The 16,339-nt window shown below is 46.1% G+C and overlaps 1 protein-coding gene across 13 annotated transcripts in view; it reads left to right on the top strand.

The window, feature by feature from the left end:
* The window catches only part of AOAH (acyloxyacyl hydrolase), a 211,554-nt gene extending 200,691 nt beyond the window's left edge, over positions 1-10,863 (top strand). For 6 of the 13 annotated variants that reach the window (XM_011515334.3, XM_011515333.3, NM_001177506.2 and 3 more), the window contains 3 exons: positions 1,689-1,765; positions 9,214-9,332; positions 10,424-10,863. In XM_011515334.3, the coding sequence (XP_011513636.1) occupies positions 1,689-1,765; positions 9,214-9,332; positions 10,424-10,772 (545 nt within the window). In that variant the 3' untranslated portion in view covers positions 10,773-10,863. Of the gene's footprint in view, positions 1-1,688; positions 1,766-2,747; positions 2,869-9,096; positions 9,333-10,423 lie in introns of those variants that run through there. The other 7 variants (NM_001177507.2, XM_017012102.3, NM_001637.4 and 4 more) reach the window with 5 other exon arrangements.
* Positions 10,864-16,339: the final 5,476 nt, after the last annotated feature.

Here is a 16,339-nt window from a genome sequence, read left to right as displayed (position 1 = left end):
TGGGCTGGATAGCATTCATGAGCAGGCAGGGCCAGCATCGCAGCCAGCAGGGCAGTCTGGAACCCACAGGAGCTTCAGAGTGTCAAGTCCAGAGGGAAATGTGAGGCAGCTAGAATTGAACCTCAAGAAGAAGGTTGCATTCCAAGGACATGCCAAAAAAAAAAAAAAAAAAAACAGGCAAAACAGGCCAGGCAAACTGAAGACTGAGCCAGGCAAGCTTCCCCAAAACTGTGCCTTTACAAGACACTATGGCCAAGGGCAAGAAAGAAATTGTTGAAAGCTGCATGCTGGCTTGGCAGAACAAATAAACTTTCATGAGAGTGAGTGCTGTTTAAGCATCGATGCAGCTCTGAGCTTCCTATTAGAAGAGCAGGTACCTACCATTCCTTCAGATAGAAGTGCTATTTACCAGCACGCCACAACTTCTCCCTGGAGACTCTGTGTGGCGGACACCATATAACACAGTGAACAGTGTCCTCAATTTGAGTTTTCAAGAAATGCAGAGGCCACTTACCAATAGCTATTTCTTCCAACAGCCTCTAGTAAAACCCAGAAGCATAATATGATGCTGTGTCTCAGGGGCAGTCTTTCTGCCAGAGAATAAGCTAACAGGGGCTGGCGATTCAGTGTGTAGGACTCCAAACCATCAGTATGAATTTTTTTCCTGAGCTTTGAGAAGGGCAGCATTATCCTCAGCCCCTGGGGAATGGAGGTTGAGTAGTAAGTGGGGATGCCATGCTGGGATATTAGGACTAATTGTAAAAGCAGCCTTGTATTGACCCAGCCCTGGGAAGTCCAGCCCGTCTTGTCCAATCAAAGCCCCTGACAGAATTTCCGTCCTTCCTTTGGGATGAGAAGGGGAGAAACAGGTCACAGACCTATGTTCTTGAGTTTTCTGGGGAATGAAGAGTAAAGAACGGGAGGAATCTTAGTTGTGCCTGCCCCCCTCACTGGACGCTGGGCAAGTGAGGGCGTAGCTTTGCCGGGAGCAGCTGGCTCAGATGCTGCTCTCCGGAGGCTTCCTAGGGATTTGAAGTTTCCTTGAGGAGTTCTTACTGACTGTATGATGGAATGACGTAGAGTTAATTGTGCTGTTGCCTTGGAGCAACTGACATTCTTGGTCTCTCATCCCTGTTGAAGGACAGTTTCATTGCTTTTCATCATTCTGGGGCTCGTAATATTTTTTCTGCAGCCATACTCCCTCCAAATGTGGCGATGAGATAATTTTATGTAATTATATTCCTGACATACTGTATGATTTTTAAAGGCAAGTGCTTGACACATGCAGGCAGAGTCTGCAAATGGCAACCCATGAAAGGGGATGTTAACAAAATGTTGGATTTTTCCCTACTGTAATACCATCCTACTGCACCACCAAAAAATGACATGTACTGAAATAGATGTTGACTATTTTAGAGCTCACCTTTTCCTACTGCCCTCCCTGCTACACAAACCACATTCATCCAATGCTCTCACGTATTCCCTTCCTGAGTTAGAAAAAGCACACACACAGCGGGAAGATCATTTCTGTTCAGAAATCCCCCAGTGCAAGAGAGCAGCTCAGAGGCAGCCGTGGCTTGGTCAACATGGGCCCGGGAGGGCATGGGCAGTTCTCACGTCCTTGTCCTTGGATATTGGCCGTTGCTTGTGCAAGTGTGTCTGTAACCCTCTCGTTATGTGCCCTGCAGTCATACAGGAGTGGCAGAAGAGAGGCGGACAGCCCTGGCAGCTCATCGAGCCCGTGGATGGATTCCACCCCAACGAGGTAAGCACAGTCACATGGTGGCTGCAGAAGGCTATTTGATGGTTTGTTGGTTTTTAATTATGGTTACACATTCATGTGTTTATTTTTATCCTGTTTTGTTCCAGAAAGGATTTGAGGTAGTGTACATACATGTATAGGATAGAAGATTTAATAAAAACAAAGTGAAATTTGGGACAATAGGGAAATAAAGTAGAAATTATACCTGGATTCCTGATTTAATTTCTATAATTCATAAAATATGTGCAGGGCATTCCTGAGAAACTGCCAGAAGGGCAGCTCTGTGCGATGCTAAAAGGGGCAGTAAGCCATGGCTTCCATAATACAAGAAAAATAAATCAAGCACTCCAAAAAAAAAAAAAGGAAGAAAGAAAAGGAGGAAAATGACGAGGATTTTTTGGAAGTGAGACCCATGAGAAATTTATTCTATGGTCTTTCTAGAAAGGGTGCTGTATAGGAGGAGAACAATGTCCTTAGCAGTATCCTGCAGTAAGAGCTGTTTCTCATCAAGGATCCAAAGTACAGTTCTGTAAAGTAGCTCTCCTCTGGTCTCTTCACAAAGCAAGGGGAGCCAGAGGGTGGGACTCTGTCCCCTCCCGGCTCCACTCCCATCCCATTATCCTGGCTTCAACCAGAGAAGCTCCACTTTTATCTGTTGTATGTCCTGGACTTGCTCACGACATTTCTTTATTAAGAAGAAGAAGAAAAAGAAGTGGGGGAGTTGTTCTGCCACTTGTAAAATGTTGAAAGCTGCTCCTCTATGGGGAGGGATGGGCCATTTACTCTCAGGCAATACCACATCACTAGAGCCTTTCTGCTCCAGCCGTGGGGGAAGCATGGTGTGGCTACCAAAGGGTACAAACCTGAGGAGCATGCCTGGGGGATGCTCGCTTGCTGGCCACCAAGACCTAGGCCACAGGAGGGCTGATTGTCCCCTCAAGAGCCTGAATGACGGTAAACACAGCCCACCTTCCTCCAACTCTAGGCTCAGCCAGTGCTCACAGGCAGGGCTAAGAATCACCTCAAAAGGAACAAGAATAGAAGGATGCTCACTCCCCAACAAATGAGTAAAAGTGGCGTCCCACAAATGCTGAGCAAATTTTAAAGTAAGTATTAAATGCCCACCTCACGGATTTAAATAGCCACACACAAAAAATCAGAATAATGCCCTCAGAATTTCTAACCTTCCTGTGTATCAGTTGGATGAGTTGATCAAAGAAAATTATTGGCTAGATTCTGGTTAAATATCAGGGTCTGATCCCCCAAAAATGATGTCTTTGGTTTTAGAAGAGTTTGTGTATATCCCTACTTTCTATTTTTTTTTTTTTTTTTTCTCGAGACAGAGTTTCACTCTTGTTGCCCCGGCTGGAGTGCAATGGTGTGATCTCCGCTCACCGCAACCTCCGCTTCCTGGTTTCAAGTGATTCTCCTGCCTCAGCTTCCTGAGTAGCTGGGATTACAGGCATGCGCCACCACACCTGGCTAATTTTGTATTTTTAGTAGAGACGGGGCTTCTCCATGTTGGTCAGGCTGGTCTCGAACTCTCACCCTCAGGTGAGCTGCCCGCCTCAGCCTCCCAAAGTGCTGGGATTACAGGCGTGAGCCACTGCGCCCGGCCCCCTTCTTTCTAGCAGTTATTAGGTACTAGTTCTTATCATTCTCTGCACAGAATAGCATCTTACCCTTCTGATTCTGTAAACAATGGGTATATGAAAAGATGGCCATGTAAAGTATCAGGAACAAACTAAAAAGAGGAGGATCAAAGACAGCTTTGTTTTATCCCCCAGGATATATTTATCCCATCTATCAAATGACCATTCCGTCCCTGACTCTTAAAATGATCTTGGGGTTCAAAGTCTGTCAAATTGGGCCTCTATCTTGTACTTAAACAGTTTCACCTATATCTGATTATTGAAAACACAGTCAAAAGCTGAAAATCAATGTGTGCCATAATCTTATGCTATTCCTGCAAGACTTGTTCACATGCTGGTAGCCAGTGATAAAGTGGCCAAAAATGGATAGCCAGGCCTAAAGCCTGCCTATTTATCATGTATATTGAGCTGAAAAGTCCAGATTGGCAAAGTGCCATCCAAAACTATTTATTGAGTGACTACCCAGTGTCAAGTGCAGTGAGAATTCAAGAGTGAACAAGAAAATGCCCTGCCATTTAAAATTATAGTATAGAGTAGGAAAATGATGAGTAAACAGACAATTAAATATAAAGCAGTAAATGCCTCCAACTGTGCAAGTACAGAACACCACAGAGCATTATGGGGTGGGATGAGAGAGAGGGGTGTTCAAAAATGTTTTCAGGCCAGGTGTGGTGGCTCACGCCTATAATCCCAGCACTTTGGGAGGCCAAGGTGAGTGGATCACCTGAGGTCGGGAGTTCTAGACCAGCCTGACCAACATGCAGAAACCCCGTCTCTACTAAAAATACAAAATTAGCTGGGCGTGGTGGCACATGCCTGTAATCCCAGCTACTTGGGAGGCTGAGGCAGGAGAATCGCTTGAACCCAGGAAGCAGAGGTTGCAATGAGCTGAGATCATGCCATTGTACTCCAGCCTGGGCAACAAGAGCGAAACTCCATCTCAAAAAAACAAAAATGTTTTCAGAGGAGGTGATGTCAGAACAAAGACCATGAGCTAGTAGAGTGAAGGGAAGCGAAGAGGGGTTTCAGGAAGTATTCTGAGCAGAGGCAACTGCATGGGCAAAGACCTGAATATGAAAGAAAGCGTGGCATGTTGGAGGAAATAAAAGCGCTCAGTGTGGCCAGAGAGTATGACCGTGGAGTTGACAGACGGAGAAATCTACCGCGTATTAAGGAACCAGATCATGGAACATCTGTCTGGGGCTTGACCTTGATCCTGAGGGACATGGGGAGCCACTGGATGTTCTCAAGCAAGAAAGAAATAGCCCAACGTGTGTCCTAAAAAGATGCCTGTAGTAGCGGCGTGGAGGGTAATTTGGTAGGGAACCAGTCCAGAGAGACGGAGAAAAACAAAAGGAAAAGTTGTATTTTAAAAAGATTTTTTAAATGACCAAACACAGAGTTACAGGACAGCAAGGCAAGTTCTTATCAGAGATTTTATTCAAGGAATCAAAGTCAAGTGCATCCTGGAGTCAGTATAGATCCTGCCCACTCTCTTCCCACATTCTCCACAGCGGTCCCAGGCCAGTGTAAGGATGGCCCAGCATGATTCCAGATCATCGGGTGATTGAATAAAGCATCATGCTGTATTACAAGAAGCTAACTTGATGAACTCTGAAACCGCTTCTGGCTTTACTGTCTTAATACATTGGATGTATTTATATGCAACTTAACAAGAAAGTGGGCTCTGAAAGATGTTCAACTACAAAGGAAAATACCTGGAAAAGAACCTCTATTAACCAGAAGATCCCACTTAATCAGAGCACCCATTCCCTAGCATTCATCTAGAATAGATTTTATTCCACACACATGCTTAGTAGGGCAGCCGATGACCTCCTGAGCTGCCAAGGTTGTGTGAACTGGCAGGAGGAGGGTGTCTCCATCCTCCCGTACTGAGGACAAATATTGGGGTGGAGGGTATATGATAAAAGTTTCCGCTGGTAAAATGAATTAGCTTGCATCCATCTGATGGCATACCATGCACTGAATTACCCCATCTACTAAAAATACAAAAATTAGCCAGGCGTGGTGGTGCATGCCTGTAGTCCCAGCTACTCAGGAGGCTGACAGGAGAATTGCTTGAACTTGGGAGGCAGAGGTTGCAGTGAGCCAAGATTGCGTCACTGCATTCCAGCTTGGGCAACAGAGCGAGACTTCATCTCAAAAACAACAATAACAACAAACAAAACAAAACAAAAAAAAGAGATCTACCTTTAGTGACACAGAAATATGTTTATAATGTACAGCAAAGTATATAGGATAAGACTACAGACCATAGGAGCAATGATTCAACTGTATGCATTTGTCAAACTCATGGCACTGTTTACCAAAGAGAGTTCATTTTACTGTGTCTAAATTCGACTTCAATAAGAGCAGATTACAAAATGATATTCAAGAGGAATCCAGTGTGTGTGTGTGCGTGTGTGTGTGTGTGTGTGTGTGTGGGTGTGTGTGTGTGGGTGTGTGTGTGTGTTCAGATATAAAATCAGGGCCAGGCGTAGTGGATCACATCTGTAATCCTAGCACTTTGGGTGGTCGAGGCAGGCAGATCACCTGAGGCTAGGAGTTCGAGACCAGCCTGGCCATAATGGTGAAACCCCATCTCTACTAAAAATACAAAAATTAGCCAGGCATGGTGGCATGTGCCTGTAATCCCAGCTACTCAGGAGGCTGAGGCAGGAGAATCACTTGAACCTGGGAGGTGGAGGTTACAGTGAGCCGAGATCACGCCACTACACTCCAGCCTAGGTAATAGACTGAGATTCCATCTCAAAAAAAAAAAAAAAAAAAAAGATATAAAGTCAGAAAGGCTCTACACCCCATGTTAACAGAGGCTGCCTCTATTTTAATTACAGATGACTTTAATTGTGTTTTTCTCTTTTTGCTTAAGTGGGTTTTCAGTTCTTCTAGAATGAACAGGTTTTCCTTTAATATTTTAGACTATGAATAGAGAAGCATAAAAGAATATCTGTTGGAGAGGCTGAAGCAAGAGAATTGCTTGAACCTGGGAGGCGGAGCTTCCGGTGAGCCGAGATCTGGCCACTGCACTCCAGCCTGAGTGGCAGAGCAAAATCCTGTCTCAAAAGAAGAAAGGAAAGAAAGAAAGAAAGAAAGAAAGAAAGAAAGAGAGAGACACAGAAAGAAAGAGAGAGAGAGAGAGAGACAGAAAGAAAGAGAAAGAAAGAAAGAAAGAAAGAAAGAAAGAAAGAAAGAAAGAAAGAAAGAAAGAAAGACTAACATGGATAAAGAGAGGAAAGGGTAGCTGTGCCCTGCCCTGTGCAGCGCCTCGTGGAAGTTAAAACAGGAAATTGCGGTATGAGAAACCCATAGTAGATGCTCAGTAAATATTTGTCAAATGAATGAATGATTACAGTGGATCATTTTATCACAAGTCTCTAGTTTGGTGATAAGCATGCCAGTCTCATTTCAGACCCAATATTTTCTCAATGCCTGCTCATAAATATTTTATTCCTTATTAGAGTGACAACCAACTAATTGCGTTCAAACCAGTTACCAAATGCTCATATCTGAGCTCTTTCATTTTCGTTTCCCTCTTCTTGCCCTCACCCTGTCTCCTCCCTTATTAACATAGATAGGGAAATAAATGCCTTGGTACCACATAATTGTTAGAAAGAGCTTAGGTGTATCAAGTTGAAAGCCAATAACACAAAAAAGAAGAACCAGTAATTTTCCACAGACCTGGCAGCAGCCTCCTTTGTTGAGAAATGGCAGGAAAACAGCCACAAGCCCGGGCCTCTGTCTTCAAAGGTCCTGATCACTTTGTGTGAGAGATGATCCGGCCCTCCCTGGAGCACTGGCCAGCTTCGCAGGCAGCCTTTGACATGCTCCTGCTTTTAAGTGCAAAGAAGTATATGTGGGGTGTGAATGCTGTGTGCGCTTTCTGTGTGTGTGTGTGTGTGGTATCCGTGCACTTTCTGTGTGTGTGGGGGGGGTATCTGCGTGCTTTCTGTGGGGGTGTGTGTGGTATCTGTGTGCTTTCTGTGGGGGTGTGTGTGGTATCTGTGTGCTTTCTGTGGGGGTGTGTGTGGTATCTGTGTGCTTTCTGTGTGTGTGTGTGTGGTATCTGTGTGGGGGGGTGTGTGTATGTTATATGTGTATGTGGTGAGTGTGCATGTGGTGGTATCTGTGTGAGGTGTGTGTGGGGTGTGTGTAGGATGTGTGTGTGTATATAAGAGAGATGTATGTATGTGTGGTATGGGGTGTGTGGTGTGTGTGTGTGAGATGTGTGTGGTGTATCTGTGTGTGGTGTGTGTGTGATGTATCTGTGTGGTGTGTGTATGGTGTGTATGTGGCGTGTGGTGTGTGTAGTGTGTGGTGTGTGTGTGTGTGACGTATTTATGTGTTGTGTGGGGTTGTGAGGGGTGTGGTGTATGTATGCGTGATGTGTGGTGTGTGTAGTGTTTCTGTGTGTGCTGTGTGTGGGATGTGGGGGTGTGTGTGATGTATGTGTGTGGTGTGGGGTTGTGAGGGGTGTGGTGTGCATGGTGTGTGGTGTGTGTGGTGTTTCTGTATGTGGGGGGTGTGTGACGTATGTGTGTGTGGTGTGGGGTTGTAAGGGGTGTGGTGTGTGGGGGTGTGTGTGTGATGTATGTGTGTGAGGTGCGGGGTTGTGAAGGGTGTGGTGTGTGGTGTGTGTGTGGTGTTGGTGTGTGGTGTGTGGGGGGGTGTGTGATTATGTGTGTGTGGTGTGGGGTTGTGAGGGGTGTGGTGTGTGTGTGGTGTTGGTGTGTAGTGTGTGTGTGATTATGTGTGTGGTGTGGGGTTATGAGGGGTGTGGTATGTGTGTGGTGTGTGGGGGGGGTGTGATTATGTGTGTGTGGCGTGGGGTTGTGAAGGGTGTGGTGTGTGTGGTGTTTGGGGGTGTGTTTGTGATGTATGTGTGTGGTGTGGGGTTGTGAGGGGTGTGGTGTGTGGTGTGTGTGGTGTTTGTGTGTGGTGTGTGGGGGGTGTGTGTGATGTTTGTGTGTGTGGTGTGGGGTTGTGAGGGGTGTGGTGTGTGTGGTGTGTGTGTGGGGGTGTGTGATTATGTGTGTGTGGTGTGGGGTTGTGAGGGGTGTGGGGTATAGTGTGTGTGTGGTGTGTGTGTAGTGTGGGGGTGTGTGTGATGTATGTGTGTGTGGTGTGGGGTTGTAAGGGGTGTGGTGTGTGGTGTGTGTGTGGTGTTTGTGTGTGGTGTGTGGGGGGTATGTGTGATGTTTGTGTGTGTGGTGTGGGGTTGTGAGGGGTGTGGTGTGTGTGTGGGGGTGTGTGATTATGTGTGTGTGGTGTGGGATTGTGAGGGGTGTGGTGTATGTGTGTGTGGTCTCTGTGTGTTATGCGGTGGGGGAGACACTGCATGGACATGACCGAGATTACGCAGCGGGATGAGTGAAGTTCGTGTCCACCTTAGAAGGCTCAGAACACATTAAAATGCTGGGGACTTTATGCAGTGACTGGATCAGTCCTAGTTTTCTCTAACTACTAAAATCTCACAAACAGTCAGACACAGAAAGGACTTTGGATCACTTTCTGTCGCCCACTCAATGTCCAGATGAGAGGGCTGGGCCCAGAGAGGGAGTTGGCTACGCTGCCTATTAGGAAGGGGACTGTGAGCTGCCCTGTGGGGAAAAGTCAGGGATATCCCTGAGCATCCTTCCCGAACAATGTATTCCCCTCTGGCAGGCCTTCAGCAATCACATTTCTCATTGCTCAGCATTGAAAACCACTGTTGAGATGGAGCCATCTGGAGTCTGCAGGCCTGGCCAGGTCCCATTTGCTAAATGAGGGCATTGTTTGCAGAGAAAGAGCATCCTCCTCAAAGGCATATTAATGACAAGCCAGACACTGGACAACCAAGAATGGACCCAGCTAACATCATGGATAAAGGGAAACCTGACATGCGACAGCAGAACCAGAGAGTAAGCCTCAGGCTGGGAAAGCCAGAGTCGAGCCTGCTGTGTATTAAGCTAAGGATTCCTCTCTGGCACTTCAGCCAGACTCCCTGCCCTCACAGCCTGCCAGGATCCCACCCCCCACCCAGTCAGGGACCCAGCCAGCCTCCACTCCCAGGCACCTGTAGTTCCCCAAACATGCCATTCTCTCCCACAGCTCTGAGCCTTTGCACACGCCGTGTCCTCTACCATTGCAGTTTCCCCACATCATCCATCTAGGGAACTCCTAGAAAATTCATCTCAGCCGCCACCTTCTTCAGAGAGATCCCACCCCTTCCCCCACCAGACAGAAGTGACACCTCTTCCCTTTCCAGTCCCTGTGGGCTTGGTGGTGTCATTTGGCATGTCTGGTTACCTTACTAGGCTGAGACTTTCTGGAAGGAAGAACACACCACGTTCATCTCTAAAACCCAAGCCTTAGGCCTGCAGTAAATGCTAGCTGTCCACAGATAAATGAATAAGTGGATTTCTGAGAAAGTGAATTTTTAATCTATTACTGAAAAAACAAATTCCATACACTTAGCAGCTTAACACAATACACACTTATGATCTCACAGTTTCTGTGGGTCACAGCTTAACTGGGTCCTCTGCTTAGGGTCTCACAAACCAAAATCAAGGCATGGCATCCAGGCCATGTTCTCATCCGGGGACTCATCTGGGGAAGAACTGCTTTCAAACTCACTCAGGCTGTTGGCAGATTCATTCCCGTTGAGACTGCAGGACTGAGGAGCCAGCTTCAGGCTGGATGGCAACCGGGTCACCCTCAGCTCCAGCCCAGAAAGGAGAGCCTCCGAAGCCAGTCACTAGCAAGGCCAAGCCTCACGCAATGTGACACCATCGCTGAAGCAGCGTCTCCTCACCACGGCCACACTTCCTCTGTTAGAAGCAAGTGATAGGTCCCACCGCCAGCAAGGGAAGGAGGTTATACAGAGACATGGGGGTGGGAGTCATGGGGCCATCCTAGAGGCTGTCTCTGGCAGAAAGCACGTGGGAAATCTTGTTGGTAAGTGATTTGTCCTAATTTCCCTTTTCCTCGTCCTTTGGGTTCTCTCTCACAGGTGGCTTTGCTGTTGTTGGCGGATCATTTCTGGAAAAAGGTGCAGCTCCAGTGGCCCCAAATCCTGGGAAAGGAGAATCCGTTCAACCCCCAGATTAAACAGGTGTTTGGAGACCAAGGCGGGCACTGAGCCTCTCAGGAGCATGCACCCCTGGGGAGCACAGGGAGGCAGAGGCTTGGGTAAACTCATTCCACAAACCCTATGGGGGCTGCCACGTCACAGGCCCAAAGGACTCTTCTTCAGCAGCATCTTTGCAAAATGTCTTTCTCTCAATGAAGAGCATATCTGGACGACTGTGCAATGCTGTGTGCTCCCGGGATCAGTAACCCTTCCGCTGTTCCTGAAATAACCTTTCATAAAGTGCTTTGGGTGCCATTCCAAACAAGAGAGTATCTGTGCCCTTTACAGCTAATTGTTCTAAAAGGAGTTTCTAAAAACACTTAAGTCCAGCGATGTTCAGCAATTTACCCAGGGTCTTGGCATGCCAGGGGACTGATCCCCCCTGTGTTGCTGACTTCTTTAAAATGGCCGGGCGAGCTGAGCTTCCTCCTATGCAGGCGGCTGGCCAGCTGCCAAGGACTCACACAAGGGGGCAGAGCAGGCTTCATGAGGCCCCCTTGAAAAACATAACACAAAACTATAAATACAAAATTAGACATGAACTTGAATACACATTTAGAATGAGGAAAGAAATCACCACAAATTACAAATGTTTAAAAGTTGACAAAGTGCCATATAACCTCACAAAGTCCAGAAAAATGACAATACAATTTTTTTCCTTTAAAGTATTTTATTAGTTGATTAGTGGGTATAAATGTACAGTTAGATAAAAGAAATAAGGCCTAGTGTCTGACAGATCAGTAGGGTGACTATAGTTTACTAAATGCTATTGTACATTTCATTTCAAATCGCTAGAAGAAAATAATTTGAATGTTTCTAGCATACAGAAAAGACAAATATTTAAGGTGATAGATACCCAAAGTACACTTATTTAATCTGTACAGGAAGACTCCAGAGTAAAGGGAGGGTCTCCCGGCCTGACTACCTCCCTTCTCCCACCCTATATGTCTTCTCTGAACCTGTCACTTCCCACCCCTCTAAAAAAGACTGTTTAAATTCTCTTAGGCCTGACCACTCACAACCTTGGGGAATCACCTAACATCTAACCAGTTCCATCTTTTGAATGGGCTCAGGTGGGAAAACAAAGGTACCCAAATCCTGAGCTTTGACCTTACTCTGAGGCACAGCACCAAGGAACTGAGGGGTGGAAGAGGACGTTGACCCCATCTCACTTTTTCAGAAAACACAAATACTGCAAATAAATACCACATGGAAATCATTACTAAATACCACTATTGCCTGCAAAACTGGAGTCTGAGGTCAGGCCCTCTGCCCTGGATCAGGTGCCCGGGCAAGGCTCATTCACTTCTGCCTGCATTTTCTATGCTCCAGACACGTTCCTTCTTTGAGATTTGACCAAGTCTTTCTCTCTGGCTTGAGAATGCCGTCCCTGTGCTTTGCGTACTTCTTATAACAGCACCTATCCCGTATTGCTGCACAGGTGCCCCTTGAGCTACTGTCTTCAGCCTTGAGTTTTCCAGAATGATGGTGTCTGAGGATTGTCCACTGACAGGCACCTGAAGGGCTTTCCTGGGTTGGCATGCTGCCCTCCCCATCTCCCCATTCCTGGAGGGGCTGTGGAAAAAAGCACCGGAACCTGAACTGCAGGCTCCATGAGATGGGTACCTGGCCGGTCATGTGTACTCCTGTGTCCAACCCCCAACACAATGCCTGACCACTGCAGACGCACAAGAAATAGCACTGAATGAATGAGTGAATGAGAAGTTAGTGTTGCTCTCCAGGTCACACTGTTATTTCTTGCTATTTAAAAGTAAAATCAGCAGCCTCTTTTTTGACACATTTGAATTAGACCCATTGAATCACGCTCCTCGCTCATCACGGTGAGAAGAGTGAGAAAGAAAAGCCATCAGAGGCGCCTTCTTCCCTGGGCACACTTGGTGAGGGGACTTGGGGCTCTTATGTGATCTTCATCTAAATACCCCAAAACTCTATTATAATTTCTGTCTCCCAGCCGAGCACTGTGGCTCACACCTATAATTCCAGCACTTTGGGAGACGGAGGTGGGAGGGTCACTTGAGCTCAGGAGTTCAAGACCAGCCTGGGCAACATGGTGAAACCCTGTCTCTACAAAAAAAAAAAAACAAAAAAAAAAACAAAAATTAGCTGGGTGTGGTGGCACACACCTGCAGTCCTAGCTGCTTGGGAAGATCACTTGAGCCCAGCAGGAGGTCGAGGGAGTGAGCCCAGACTGCACCGCTGCACTCCAGCCTGGGGGATAGAATGAGACCTTGTCTCAAAAAAAAAAAAAAAAAAAAAGAAACAGATACTCTCTCCTGTTATCAGAGGAGAGACCTGGCTTGCCCTACACTATTGAAATAGAGCTCACTATTTGCCACATGAGTAATTACCAAAATTTCTATTTCCACCCACCATGAGCATTTTTCATTTCATGCTGAGCCTTTTGGGTTCAGGCCCTGGTGACAAAAATAAAGTCAGCCCCCCAGAAAAAGCAGATCAGCTAAAAATCTCTATATGGGACTTGTATTGATACACAATGTGACCGGACCTGAATCTCCCCAGAATCCGCACCAGCTTCCCAATCCCTCCCTGCTCTGTCACTGATTTAATCCAACTGAGAAAATTTTCTTAACTAGGGTCCTTAGGGATCCCCAGAATTAATAGTGCCTGTAAACTTGAATGGGAAAAAAAATAAGTCTTCACTGTCTTCTAAATGCTAATGCTAAAATTTAGCATTTCCTTTCATAATGAATGTAGGTAACAAAACACAGCTGAATTAGTCCTTGTCACAAATATTTTCACATCACATTGCAGTTGTTGCAGTTACTGTTGCTTATTTTTTGTAGCAGTTATGTTCTATAAAGTTGCCATGAACACTGAATTAGCACATGCTGAACCATTGTCCTTAGGGGAAGTACAAGGCTAGGTTCCTGTGAGCCTGCAGTCTCAACATTTTCACCAACCAATCAATATATAACTGTTTTCCGTGTGGCTTTTGTTCAAAAGACACCGTATTTAATATACAGTGGATTCATTAACATTGACCGCACAGGCAACAGCACTGTAACTCCTGCCTGCAAAGAGCTCATCTACCACTGGGGTGATTTTCTTGGTGCGGCACGTTGCAGTCTTCTGTGGCACATCACTTAGCAGCACTAGCTAGCACTTCAGCACTGCCCTTCATGGCCATTTTAAACAGCAACATCACCGGGAAAAAGCATGAAATGCCAAAAATGTGGCACTAAGTATACTGCGAAGAGGACACAGGTTTGCAGTATGAGAGCTGAAACAAGAAGGCAAAACTTGACCGGTCGCAGTGGCTCATACCTGTCATCCCAGCACTTTGGGAGGCCGAGGCAGGTGGATCACCTGGAGGTCAGGAGTTCGAAACCAGCCTGGCCAACATGGGGAAACACCGTCTCTACTAAAAATACAAAAATTAGCTGAGCGTGGTGGTGTGTGCCTGGCATCCCAGCTACTCTGGAGACTGAGGCAGGAGAATCACTTGAACCTGGGAGGCAGAGGTTGCAGCGAGCCGAGGTCATGCCATTGCATGCCAGCCTGGGCAACAAGAGCAAAACTCTGTCTCAAAAAAAAAAAAAAAGGCAAAACTTCACTTTGCCAACCAATCTCATCTGGGGAACATGCCAGTTGGGCAACTCAAATTTGTCATTGGTCTGTGCATGGGCACAGATGACTGCAAAGGCGCCACAAGTATACATTAATGTTACAAATAAATTTTAGCAAGGAGGTGAATTCACAAATATGTGATCAGTGAACGATGCCGATCAACTATATCTTATACTTTAAAACATCAATACCTTAAAACAACTGTAGTTATTAGAACCAACTCTGGATCTGGTTATTAACACGTTCAAAAAGAAGCCCATATATTTATATATGCTCATTTGTGAATATCTCAAAATATTCTTTGATATTCTATTTCAATAGAATTGGTTTTCTTCGTAATCCTACATGTTTTGTTTTTTTGCATTTAAAAATGTTATTCTGGCTGGGCATAGTGGCTCACGCCTATAATCCCAGCACTTTGGGAGGCTAAGGTGGAAAAACTGCTTTAGCTCAGGAGTTCCAGACCAGCCTGAATATCACAGTGAGATCCCGTCTTTACCAAAAGTCAAAATGATTAGTTGGGCATAGTGGCACATGCCTGTGGTCTCAGCTACTTAGGAGGCTAAGGCGGGAGGATGGCTTGAGCCTGGAAGTTCAAGGCTGCAGTGAGCCATGATCTTGCCACTGCACTGCAGCCTGTTGACAGAGCAAGACCGTGTCTAAAATAAAATAAAATGAAAATGTTATTCTGAGAAGGGATCCTCAGGCTTCCCCAAACTGCCAAGGGGCTGCATGGCACAAAAAGGATGTATGCGCTGTGGGTGGGGTGGGGGTGCTTTGAGAAGGAAGAACTCCAAAGTCTGAAAAGTTTGGATGCACAGCATAATTTATTTGCTTCCTGGAAAGTCACAGGGTGAAAATTCTACAGTAAAAAAGTCTGGGCCGGGTGCAGTGGCTCACCCCTGTAGTCTCAGCATTTGGGAGGCCAAGGCAGGCGGATCACGAGGTCAGGAGATTGAGACCATCCTAGCCAACATGGTGAAATACAAAATACAAAATTTAGCTGGGTGTGGTGGTGCGCACCTGTAATCCCAGCTACTCCGGAGGCTGAGGGAGGAGAATCGCTTGAACCCGGGTGGCGGAGGCTGCAGTGAGCCGAGATCGCGCCAATACACTCCAGCCTGGGTGACAGAGTGAGACTCCGTCTCAAAAAAAAAAAAAAAACCAAAAAACTCTGCTCCGCTCATCATTTACCCAAGATTTTGACCTAAGCTTTTTGTTCTCATGATGCCTATTAACACTCTGTGGCATCTGCTTTTTCAGAAGCACCTTGGAAGATGTTGTTTAGAGGAATTAGCCTCTGTCTCACACACTCCCTGGCAGTGTCAAGAAAGGGATTTCCCAGGTATTTTAAGACCAGAATTCCCGACCTCTCATCTTTGGTGTGAGGCAGAATGTCTTTGGAATCCCTTTCATTGCAACAACAGCTTTCCTGGTGGAACCAAAAGTGACAAAGACAGCATCTCTCCTGGGCCCCAAGATGCATGGCGCACATTCACTGTGCTATATGGATTTCCTGATGGATGGATGCATCAATATGCTATTAACATGTCAGTTTCTCATTAAATCTGAGTACAGAACCCGTGTTTGCCTGGCGGGATGAACTCCCCTAATCTGATTTGGCAGAGGCTCTAGCATAAATATTCGTACAAGCTAAGGCTCTTTTAATCTGGGCCTTTGCTTAGGGTAAAGGGGAATGGGGAGAGGTTGCTTGTAAAGCCTGTTTTCTGGGTCACTTCTTAAAACTGCAGTATCAAAAATAATGGCCTCATCATCATGAACCTGTCGTTAAGGAGGATTACACTTTGAAGCTCTTGGATGGATGGAAAGGCAGAGGAGAAATAAAGAGCACATGTTGAGGCTCGCTAAGGATTTATTTGGGTATTGTGCTCCTGGCTTGCTGCTTTGTTTATAATTAATTACATGGAGCATTTACAGGAAGACTTCCAGCCTCAGAGCGCTAATGTAACTCACAGGTTCACAAAGCTCCAGTCAATAAACCTCAGCAGAAAGACGGCTGAGAGGATGCACCAAGGGCTTCCATGACCTGTCCAGGCTCAAGGCAGCTTCAGACCCCAAAGACTTTCAGTTTCACCTAAGGACTCTGCCCTCCAAGATGCACACTTTGTACAGGCTCAGAAAAGCCCCCAGCTGTTAATATTATTACAGTGATTTTCTGCAAATATC

Source organism: Homo sapiens, chromosome 7, assembly GCF_000001405.40.
Source record: "Homo sapiens chromosome 7, GRCh38.p14 Primary Assembly".
Classification (NCBI taxonomy): Eukaryota; Metazoa; Chordata; class Mammalia; order Primates; family Hominidae; genus Homo; species Homo sapiens.
Note: the sequence above shows the minus strand (reverse complement) of the source record. Positions and strands in the feature narration are given on the sequence as shown.